Source organism: Homo sapiens, chromosome 15 (genome assembly GCF_000001405.40).
Source record: "Homo sapiens chromosome 15, GRCh38.p14 Primary Assembly".
Lineage (NCBI taxonomy): Eukaryota > Metazoa > Chordata > Mammalia > Primates > Hominidae > Homo > Homo sapiens.
In genome coordinates this window covers 66,801,633-66,813,681 of record NC_000015.10, presented here as the reverse complement: position 1 = coordinate 66,813,681, position 12,049 = coordinate 66,801,633, and the positions used below count along the sequence as shown (strand labels likewise).

Below are 12,049 nucleotides of genomic sequence, written 5' to 3'. Positions count from 1 at the left end.
TGGCCCGGAAGCTCCAACTGGGTGGAGCCCACCACAGCTCAACGAGGCCCACCTGCCTCTGTAGACTCCATCTCTGGGGGTAGGGCATAGCTGAGCAAAAGGCAGCAGAAACTTCTGCAGACTTAAACGTCCCTGTCTGACAGCTCTGAAGAGAGCAGTGGTTCTCCCAGCACAGTGTTTGAGCTCTGAGAACAGACAGACTGCCTCCTCAAGTGGGTCCCTGACCCCCATGTAGCCTAACTTGGAGACACCTCCCAGTAGGGGCCGACTGACACCTCATACAGCCAGATGCCGCTCTGGGACAAAGCTTCCAGAGGAAGGATCAGGCAGCAATATTTGCTGTTCTGCAATATTTGCTGTTCTACAGCCTCCTCTGGTGATACCCAGGCAAACAGGGTCTGGAGTGGACCTCCAGCAAACTCCAACAGACCTGCAGCTGAGGGACCTGTTAGAAGCAAAACTAACAAACAGGAAGGAATAGCACCAACATCAACAAAAAGGACATCCACACCAAAACCCCATCTGTAGGTCACCATCATCCAAGACCAAAGGTAGATAAAACCACAATGGGGAGAAACCAGAGCAGAAAAGCTGAACATTATAAAAACTAGAGCACCCCTTCTCCTCCAAAGGATCGCAGCTCCTTGCCAGCAATGGAACAAAGCAGGATGGAGAATGACTTTGACGAGTTGACAGAAGTAGGCTTCAGAAAGTCGGTAATAACAAACTTCTCCAAGCTGAAGGAGGATGTTCGAACCCATCGCAAGGAAGCTAAAAACCTTGAAAAAAGATTAGACAAACGGCTAACTAGAAAAAACAGTGTAAAGAAGACCTTAAATGACCTGATGGAGCTGAAAACCATGGCACAAGAACTACATGACTCATGCACAAGCTTCAGTAGCCAACTCGATCAAGTGGAAGAAAGGGTATCAGTGATTGAAGATCAAATAAATGAAATGAAGAGAGAAGAGAAGTTTAGAGAAAAAAAAGTAAAAAGAAACGAACAAAGCCTCCAAGAAATATAGGACTATGTGAAAAGACCAAATCTACATTTGGTTGGTGTACCTGAAAGTGACAGGGAGAATGGAATCAAGCTGGAAAACACTCTTCAGGATATTATCCAGGAGAACTTCCCCAACCTAGCAAAGCAGGCCAACATTCAAATTCAGGAAATACAGAGAACACCACAAAGATACTCCTCGAGAAGAGCAACCCCAAGACACATAATTGTCAGATTCACCAAGGTTGAAATGAAGGAAAAAGTGCTAAGGGCAGCCAGAGAGAAAGGTCAGGTTACCCACAAAGGGAAGCCCATCAGACTAACAGCGGATCTCTCAGTAGAAACTCTACAAGCCAGAAGAGAGTGGGGGCCAATATTCAACATTCTTAAAGAAAAGAATTTTCAACCCAGAATTTCATATCCAGCCAAACTAAGCTTCATAAGTGAAGGAGAAATAAAATCCTTTACAGACAGGCAAATGCTGAGAGATTTTGTCACCACCAGGCCTGCCTTATAAGAGCTCCTGAAGGAAGCACTAAACATGGAAAGGAACAACTGGTCCCAGCCACTGCAAAAACATGCCAAATTGTAAAGACCATCAATGCTAGGAAGAAACTGCATCAACTAACGGGCAAAATAACCAGCTAACATCATAATGACATGATCAAATTCACACATAACAATATTAACCTTAAATGTAAACGGGCTAAATGTCCCAGTTAAAAGACACAGACTGGCAAATTGGATAGAGTCAAGACCCATCAGTGTGCTGTATTCAGGAGACCCATCTCACATGCAGAGACACAGATAGGCTCAAAATAAAGGGATGGAGGAAGATCTACCAAGCAGATGGAAAGCAAAAAAAAAGCAGGCATTGCAATCCTAGTCTCTGATAAAACAAACTTTAAACCAACAAAGATCAAAAGAGACAAAGAAGGCCATTACATAATGGTAAAGGGATCAATTCAACAAGAAGAGCTAACTATCCTAAATATATATGCACCTAATACAGGAGCACCCAGATTCATAAAGCAAGTCCTGAGAGACCTAAAAAAGAGACTTAGACTCCCATATAATAATAATGGGAGACTTTAACACCCCACTGTCAACATTAGACAGATCAACGAGACAGAAAGTTAACAAGGATATCCAGGACTTGAACTCAGCACCAAGCAGACCTAATGGACATCTACAGAACTCTCCACCCCAAATCAACAGAATATACATTCTTCTCAGCTTCTCATCACATTTATTCCAAAATTGACCACATAGTTGGAAGTAAAGCATTAAAAAGTCAGGAAACAAAAGGTGCTGGAGAGGATGTGGAGAAATAGGAACACTTTTATGCTGTTGGTGGGAGTGTAAACTAGTTCAACCATTGTGGAAGACAGTGTGGCGATTCCTCAAGGATCTAGAACTAGAAATACCATTTGACCCAGCAATCCCATTACTGGGTATATATCCAAAGGATTATAAATCATGCTACTATAAAGACACATGCACACGTATGTTTATTGTGGCACTATTCACAATAGCAAAGACTTGGAACCAACCCAAATGTCCATAAGTGATAGACTGGATTAAGAAAATGTGGCACATATACACCATGGAATACTATGCAGCCATAAAAAGGATGGGTTCGTGTCCTTTGTAGCAACATGGATGAAGCTGGAAACCATCATTCTGAGCAAACTATTGCAAGGACAGAAAACCAAACACTGCATGTTCTCACTTACAGGTGGGAATTGAACAATGAGAACACTTGGACATAGGGCAGGGAACATCACACACCAGGGCCCGTCATGGGGTGGGGGGATGGGGGAGGGATAGTATTAGGAGAAATACTTAATGTAAATGACAAGTTAATGGGTGCAGCAAACCAACACGGCACATGTATACATATGTAACAAACCTGCATGTTGTGCACATGTACCCTAGAACTTACAGTATAATAATAAAAAAATAAAATAAAATAAAATTTATTTCTTCTAGTACTGAAAAAAAAAAAAAAAAGAATCACCTCAAAGCGATTATTATTATGGTCATTACCACAACAGCTAGTGAAGCAGGATGGAGGCAGACACCTGTCGGGCCACCAACATGCCTGAGAGCCAAAACCAGCCCTAATTCTTCACTTCTGCAGCCTCCTCCTCAGCCTTTCCCTTAGCCTTCTTCTTCTCCTCCACCTCTCCTCCTTCTCCAGCATTGCTACAATCTCAGCCACCTGACTGGTAGAGACGTGAACATCTTTGTCCACAAGCTCAATCACCTTAATGAGCTTGTCAATGTTGACCTTGCCATTCTTACTTTTATCCAGTGTTGAGGCCAAGCTGATCAGCTTGTTTTCTGGAATGTTCTTGATTTGCTTCATGGTACTGATGAGCTCAGTGATACCGATGACTTTCTCTCCCGCTCCCCCTGAGTCCTCTGCCTGGCCCAGCTTGCCAGGCCTCTGATCCATCTCCAGCTGTGCGATCAAGCTGTCTATCCACCAGATCATCTGCTGAACTCTCTTTGTCAGTGTCTTGCTGGCTTTAGATTTTTCCACATATTTTTCTTTGCTGGTCTTTGAAACTTCCTTCTTGATCTCTTGCAAGTCATCACTATCGTCCTGGACATCCTCCTTCAGCAGCTCCAGCTCCTCCTTCTCCTTGGTTAGGGACTTATTTTGCTCCTTCAGTTTAGAACACGCATCGCTAAGTACACCCATTTCTTCTTTAGTTATTTTCTCCTCCTTCAAGATCTCCAGCACAGGGGCAGTGTCCTTCAGGGCCTCTGAGGGCAGGATAACATCAGGCACTTCTGGCTGCTGGTCAGCCACTGGCCTCTCAGGGGTGGCTTCTTCCACTTCGTTTCTTGGGATAGCTTCTGCAGCTCATTATCCCTGTGCTCCAGCTGGATGGCCGTCTCCTCCTGTAATATGGCCTCCAATTTTACTTTGTTGTCCACCTGCTCACCCTTAACCTTGTCCACTTTCACCTGGGCTCCCTTCACCACTGTCTCTGGAAGAGTCTGCAAGGTGGATTTGAGCTGGTCAGTAGGAGAGAGGGTGTCTGGGAGGTACATAGCTCAGGACAATAAGAGCAGTGATATGGGGATCTCTTGATGCAAATGCAGGTCCAGCCACCGCTTCAGCAGGCTCCTCACATGGTTTTCTGGGACCCCGAGGGCCCACATCCCTCGAGTTCTACATGTCGACAGCAATTCCTTGATATTCAGGCTGTCCACCCCTTCCTCAGCAATCAACTCATTGTTGGCCTTTATGGACCTCAACCTCATGGTGAGCTGGAAGCATAGGAAGTTGTTGGTGCCTATGGCCTGGAGACCCAGCAGCTCACACAAATGCCACCAGCTGCTGGCAGGTGAGGTTATCCAAGGTCAGCTCATCCTCAAATAATTTGGGAAAGCGCATGATTTCTTCATTGTTAGGTCTTTCCTGTCTCTCGGATCTTCTGGAAAAACATGGAGAAGGCTTTGGCAGTCCTCCCCTTGGTTTCTTTTCTCCTCGATGGTGTCCTGGAGAAATGTAGCCAGTTCCAGCTCCCCCATAGCTGCTTCTTCGGTCTCTCCTCCTTGATGGACTGGGTCTCAAATGTGGACAGCAACATGTTGGGAAAGATTTTCACTATGATGGGCAACAGCAACTCCATGAAAAGCACCACTGCAAAGATGAGGAGCGGGACCAGGCAAAAGAGGTCAGCACGGACACGGACAAACTGCCTGTGCTCCCGGTGGTTCAGCATATGGCCACTGAGAATCCCCCAGAGCGAGTGTGTGGCTGTCCTGGTGTCCATCCAGAGAAGGCTGAAGCTGTGGTAACAGTGCTTCAGCCCGTCCAGGACCCTCCGCCCCACAGACTTCACTGGCGCCTCTTCAGGGGGGTTGTACCCGGGGCTGCCTTCCTCCAGCTTCTTGTTCTTGTCGTTGTGGGACTTGACTATGGAGTAGTCGCCAAGGTGGGGAGATGAGTGCCAGCAGCGTGCAGGAAGGTCCTGAGGTCCCATGACCACCAAACATGGTGCCACCGTAGCCACTGTGTGCCAGCGCTCCGGCCTCACAGGCCAACCGCTGAGGTGATGGCATCTGAAGGAAGGTACACCGGGTAGGCGGGGGTGCAGCAGCTAAATGGAACATTCACGTGGCTTGTCAGCCCTGCAATGTTTGTCCAATGGAGATCAGCACGATCCCCCAGGTCACCCCTCAGGGCAGCGACGTGGGATGGTGGGAGGCGGGAGGCCATCCAGCCCTGACAGCTCCTCAGTAAGATGGATGACATGGGCCTCCTGCAGCAGCTTCCTCCTCCTCCTCTTCCTCCTCTGAGGCTCCTGGGCCTATGTTGCGCCTCAACCTGGCCCGCAAGGACAACTGACAAAGGCTGTGGACCAAAAAACAGGTCCAGGACCCAGCATCAAAGGCGGCCAAGCCACTCACAGACTTCCGGGGACCAGGTGAGCAGAGCAGGGACAGGGAGGGGAGGCGGGGTTGCCTTCACCAATGGGCACTTCCGCTCCTGCACACTCCGTTTCTTTAGATGGTTGATCTCTTTCATTAGTTTTATCATTTCCTTGTGTAGATCCTGTACACAATTTTGTTATGTTTATACCTAAATAATTCTTTTCTTTTTTTCCTTTTTTTTGCTAAGTGTTACTGCATTTTAAATGTCAAATTGTAGTTGTTCGTTGCTGGTATCTATGAAAGCAATGGACTTCTGTATATTAACTTTTTTTTTTTTTGAGACAGAGTCTTGCTCTGTTGCCCAGGCTGGAGTGCAGTGGCTCAATCTTGGTTCACTGCAACCTCTGCCAAAAGGGTTCAAGCAATTATCCTGTCTCAGCCTCCTGAGTAGCTGGGTCTACAGGCATCCGCCATCACGCCTGGCTAATTTTTGTATTTTTAGTAGATATGGGGTTTCACCATATTGGTCAGGCTGGTCTTAAACTCCTGGCCTCAGGTGATTCACCCACCTCAGCCTCCCAAAGTGCTGGGATTACTGGCATGAGCCACCACGCCCAGCCCTGTACATTAACTTTGCATCTTGCAACTTTGCTATTTGTTCTAGTCATTTTTTTGAAGTTATTTGGGATTTTCTCCATAAACTATCATGTTATCTGTGAACAAAGACAGCTTTATTTCTTCCTTCCTAATCTATAGACCTTTTCTTTCCTTTTCTTACCTTATTGCATTAGCTAGAAATTTCAGTACGATGTTGAATAGGACTGGTGAGAGGGGACATCTTTGGCTTGTTTCTGACCTTTGCTGGAAAGTATCTAATTTCTCACTATTAAGCGTGATGTTAGCTCTAAGGTTTTGCAAATATTCTTTACCAAATTGAGGAAATTCTCCTTTGTTCCTACTTTCTTGGGAGTTTTGTCATGAAAAAGTGTTAGATTTTGTCTCTTTACTTTTCACCTTTATAGTTAAAGTGGCTTCTTGTAGACAACAGAGAGCTTTTTTTATTCCTCTGACAGCCTATTTTTAATTGGTACATTTAAAGCATTCGTATTTAAAGTGATTATTGATATAGTTGGATTATTATGTATCGTGTTTATAATTGTTTTCTATTCACTGCACTTGTTTCTTATTTGTTTATTTATTTTGAGATGGAGTTTCACTCTTGTTGCCTAGGCTGGTGTGCCATGGTGCAATCTCGGCTCACTGCAAACTCCGTCTCCCAGGTTCAAGCAATTCTTCTGCCTCAGCCTCCCAAGTAGCTGGGATTACAGGCACGCACCATGCCCAGCTAATTCTGTTTTTTTTTTTTTTTTTTTTTTTTGTGTGTGTGTGTGTGTGTGTGTGTGTGTGTTGGTGTTTTTTGTTTGTTCGTTTTTTGGTTTTTGGTTTTTTTTTAGACAGAGTCTCACTCTTGTCACCTAGGCTGGAGTGCAGGGGTGCAATCTCATCTCACTGCAACCTCTGCCTCCTGGGTTCCAGTGATCCTCCTGCCTCAGCCTCCTGGATAGCTGGGATTACAGGCACCCACCACTATAGCTGGCTAATTTTTGTATTTTTAGTAGAGATGAGGTTTTGCTGTGTTGGCCAGGCTGGTCTCGAACTCCTGACCTCAAGTGATTCGCCCACCTAGGCCTCCCAAAGTGCGGGATTACAGGCATGAGCCACCATGTTTAGCCTGAGTTTTTATTTTAATCTTACTAGAGCTGAGCTGTGTTTAAGGTTTGCTATAGTTATAGGTGCCAAAGGCTTTGGTTTCCTCTAATTTCCTTGGTTTGTTTTTTCTCCGTGGTTAACTTTGGGTTTCCCTAAGAACTCCTTCTTAAAGAGTCTGTGTCTTACAGCTGTTACATTTGTAATTCATTGTTATTATACTGAAGACCTGTTGTGGTGGTGGAAATAAAATGTTGGGGAGAGGAGGCACTCTATACTTTTATTATTAAATCTTAGTTTTTTCAGTTGGCCTGAGCCCCTGGGCTGTGACCCTCAGAAGCATTTTTTGGCCCCATTATTTTTTTCCCTTCTCCTTAAGTAAGAGAGACAGGAAGGATGGAGGGGGTTGAGTTGTCTAATTGCTCAAGTCAGACGAGGCTCTGATAAAGTAGTTTCTCGGGAGGGTTGGTCTTTGTTACTGAGAAAGCTCTAGGGGTATTTCAAATGGTTATTTTTCCACTCTTTTTGTCTGGAACAAGGGTTTTTTTTCTCTGATCTTCCCAATGTCAGTCTGGAGGGGTTCCTGGAGGTAAAACCCACTTACGTATTGAAGGGAGACCTACAACTAGGCCCCCAGAAGTTTTTAATTTTCAAGCAAGTTCATTCTTAATTTCCAGAAATTCATCAAAATTACTATTCAAGTGTTCCCAACAGTTCCTGACTCCAGTGGTTTCTGCTTCAAGTAAGCTGATCTTGGCTGTATTCACTCATCTCCCCAGATTTCAGAGTGGCAGTTTGCCCTGTGACCTTAATTCTCTGAAGAGAATTAAGAAACATTGTTGACTTTCAGTTTGTTCAACTTATTTCATGGTGTGAGGATGGGTGTGACAACTTCCAAACTCTTTATACATCAGAGCTGAAACCAGAAGTACCCCATGCTGGCGTTTTAACATATCTGCCAAAGGCCTGCCTCCCAGTCATGGGACAGGGGGACAGAAAACTGTGCAGGGGAAGCAAAGCCAGGAGAAGCCAAACCCATGATAGGTCCATTCAGTAGACCTGTCCCGCTGTCCTGCAAAAAGGAGGCCCAACCAGGGGAAACCGAGGACCTAGGGAAGGAGCCACAAGCTTCATGCCCAAGAGCTCTCAGACTCCCTGTTCCTCTGCCAGCCCTGGCCTTCTGGATCCCCCTCTAGGGCTTGAGTTGGGTTGCAGTGGAGGAGGAAGCATGGGGCACATGAGGGTGGCTGAGGTTAAGCTGGCCAGGCAGACCCATCAAGCACTAGCTCCACCCCTCACTAACTGCAATACCTTGGCCTGGTCACTGCCCTTCTGGGACTTCAGTCCCCATCTGTAGGATTATAAAATAACAGCACTATTCTGGTGTAACTGTGGAAGGGAAGAAAGTGCCTGGCACTGAGCCTGGCATACCCCAGTGTCATACAAACACATTTCCTTCTTCCCCCTACAGGAGTCACCTCCAGTCCAGTATCCCTGCCTTTGCACTGCTTTCCTTGACTCCTCACAGGTAAGCACCACCTTCCCTTCATCCCACCCCAGCCCAAGGGCCACCCAGAAGAGGGAAAGATGGAAGGCTCATAGCAAGTGACGAATGTTAATGGCGGTGTGTGCCAACCACTCTTCTAAGCATGATGTATATATTTGCTTAGATATATGCACCAAAAAAAGCTATGATCTAGAAAATGTGTCACCTCTATATTACAGAAAAGGAAAACCAAGGTGCAGAGAAGTTTAGCAACTTCCAGGATCACAGTCAGTAAGTGGCGGAGCCTGGGTTAGAACGCAGAGCCCACATTCTAGGAAAAGAAACAAAGGAAGTGAAGATCCTCCACCTTGGGAAGTGGCGACTCAGCAGGGTGAGAGCATCTCACTCATTGTACTAGTTTGGCTGTGGGGTTTTAAGGACTGGAGGCCTCCTCCAGTGACCTCAAGTTCCAGGGTTAACTGAGGGGATGCTTGTGCCAATGAGAGAGCCAGAGCCCCCACAGAGCTGGACTGAGCATGGTGCAGATCCCAGATCCCCATTATCCTGTAGTGGGAAGGGGTCAGGGATCTACCCGTGTGCCTCATCCAGGACTTCTTGAACTTGAATGTGCTCACAAATCCCTGGGGATCTTATTAACATGCAGATTCAGATTCAGTAAGTCTTGAGTAGGGTCCACGATTCTGCATTTCTAATAGGCTCCCAGGCATTGTTGATGCTGCTGGTCCAGGCACCACATTTGGAGAAACAGTTCTTTATGGGACCCTGCATCCCTCTCAGGCCTCACTTCCTTCAGGCCTCTTCTTGCTTCTCTCACTCCACTTGCCTGATTCTCTAGTTCTGGAGTGAGGGTTCTCCCCACTGCTCCACCTTTTAGGTGGCAGGACAGCTTCTGAAGGGCATTTTAAGAAAATTACCCAGGGAATGTCCAGCCAGCTACCATACTAGTTAGCCAGCATGGGCCAATCTCTGAGTTGGGCCTAGGATCATCCATCACTTCTGAGATCCCAGAACTGTGGCTTCTGGTGAAAACAGCATTTATATCACCTGTAAAATGGAGAAATGATCATAGAACCTGACCTCAATGGGTTGGCTTGAGGATTAAATGAGTTAGCATACACAAAGCAGTCAGCTGAGTACCTGGCACACAGTGAGCACTACTTAAGCCTTAGATCTCACTTTGTTGAATGACTCTTTATAGAAGATATGGGTTTGATATTGGCCCACAGATTATTGCATGCAGTGGTCCTCAAACTTGAGCATGCATCAGAATTGCCTGGAGGGCTTGTTAAACACAGATCACTGGGCTGCACCCCAAGGTTTCCGACGTAGTAGATCTGTAGTGGGGAGCCAAGGATCTGCACTTCTCTCAAGTTCCCAGGTGCTGCTGATGCTGCTGGTTCAGGGACCAACTTTGTGAACCTCTGATCTAGGAGCAACTCCTGTCCCTGCCCCACAAGGAGCCTGAAGGCCAGAGCTGGCAGCGCTAGGCCAGGTCATACCCAGAGTTAGAAGCCTTACCAGCCAGGTATCCTGGGCTCCAAGGACACCAGAGAGGGGCTTGTCTGAGGCCCGAAGCCCCTCCACAGGCCTCTCCTGCAGGCTTCTGCCTCCTTCCTGGCCCAGTGCCCTGGCCCTCTCAAGGCCCCTCCGCCCAGCTTTGTTTGCATTCCTGGAGGCTGCGTCAGCCTGGGCAGCGGGCGTGTCCATGCGGGCTGGCCTGGTGCAGCTCTGATCGCTGGCCCCGCACTCCAGGCCTCCTGGGCTGGGGCCGCAGTGGCCACTCAGGGCTCACTTAGCAGGCCGGTGACTCATGCTTCCTCCCAGATTCCGGGAAATGCCTTCCTGCTGCTGCTGCTTTTTTCTTGTTTAATGAGAAGTTCTCTGCAGACTTCCATGGCAAACTCAGGATGGGGAGGCAGGGGGAGGAGGGGGCCAAATCTATTCCCAAGAGGGGCCCCAAGAATTCCCATCTCTCTCACACACGCACACACACCCCCACCCTATTGCCAGCCCCGGCCTGAGCCCCCAACCCACCATGGTGCTTTGGTCCAGGAGGGCCAGCCCCAGAAATGCTTGCTTTTATTAAAAAGGAATGGCCTCACAAAGGCACAACTGTAGGAAAGGTTGTAATTTGCCCAAATAAAACTTAATTTGATCCATGAAATAGCTGTGGTTTATTGTGTAATAGATGTGCTATGTGTTTCAATTTAATAGAAGCCAATATAATAGGGGGCCAGTGGGGGCCTCCAGAGGCCCACCTCTTCCCCTACTCACAGTAGGGCCACACAGCCCGCTCCAATGTTGGGACCCTCCACTAGGAGAGGACGGAGAAGGGCTGGCCATAGACCTCTGGCCCAGACCACAGAGGCTCGTGGGAGAGACAGCTCAGGGACAGAACAAGTAAGAGTGCTTGAAGGGGAAAAAAAGGAAAGAAATGAAAACCACCCTTTTTCCAAAGCAAGGCTGCGGGTGTGTGAGTCTGAGGAGGGGGCCGTGGGGGCTGAGTCACTTTCCTGTCCACTGCTGGAATGGGAGGGCCTCTGCTAGGGGCTGTGGGAGAAAGAAGGCTGAATCTGTCACTTAGAGTATGTTGAGGGGATCCCTTTGAAGAAGGCTTCAGGGACAGTTCCTGGGGCAGTGGGCAGCTGCTTCAGCCCCCAGAGCCTGTGTGTGCCGCCCGTGCTCGGACTCAGAGCAAAGGTAATAGAAGCCAGGGGTAGGAGAAAGTCAGGAATGGGGCTTAGTTGGGTCTGGTGAGGCTCCCAGAGATGGTCCCATCCAGCATCCCCCTGCCCCCCGCCACACTGGTGGTCCAGACTGAGGCCCAGAGAGGATAAGTGAGTTGCACAAGCTCCGCTGGTCCTCATTCCATAGATTCTTAGTACACACTGGTGCTAGATCAGGATGGGGGTAGGGTGGGATGCCAGGCTGGTTTTACGGGACCCACCCCCGAGAGTGCTGAGCAACTGACAGAGAGCAGCAGGGCAAGGGAAAGCAGGTATTGCTCTAAGCATGTCGTGTGCATCATCTCATTAATCCTCATGACAACCCAGTATGGTAGGTATTGGTGGCCCCATTTTTCTGCTGAGGAAATTGAGGCCAGGGCGGTGGCTTGTCCAAAAATCAGTTACCCCTCAACCCTCTGCTGCCTCTTGTGAGTGGAGACAGTATCTACCCCATCCTCCCATCCTTCTGAGTTCTGGAACTCTGATCCCTACATCCAAGTTATTCCTCATTCATTCTTCCTGTTGGGTGCTTTTCTTTAAAAGGCCGTTATTTGGCTCTGTGTAACCTTGGACAAACTTCTGAGCCTCGGTTTTCTGATTTGTAAAATGAGAACTGCATGCATCTCACAAGGGCTATTCTAAAGATTAAATGAGATGCCACATGAAAAGCACCTTAGCCAGGGCTTGGCATTCAGTAGGTACTCACAGGTACTC

The 12,049-nt window shown here is 47.6% G+C and overlaps 1 pseudogene, besides 1 other annotated feature; it reads right to left on the bottom strand.

Moving 5' to 3' along the window:
- Positions 3,013-5,115, bottom strand: LETM1P1 (leucine zipper and EF-hand containing transmembrane protein 1 pseudogene 1; annotated as a pseudogene).
- Positions 11,180-11,725: an enhancer, noted in NCBI's record as "H3K27ac-H3K4me1 hESC enhancer chr15:67094295-67094840 (GRCh37/hg19 assembly coordinates)". NCBI's record gives its function as "activates a minimal SCP1, AML or CMV promoter by ChIP-STARR-seq in primed H9 embryonic stem cells {active_cell/tissue: H9 hESC(primed)}" and the evidence as "EXISTENCE:reporter gene assay evidence [ECO:0000049][PMID:30033119]".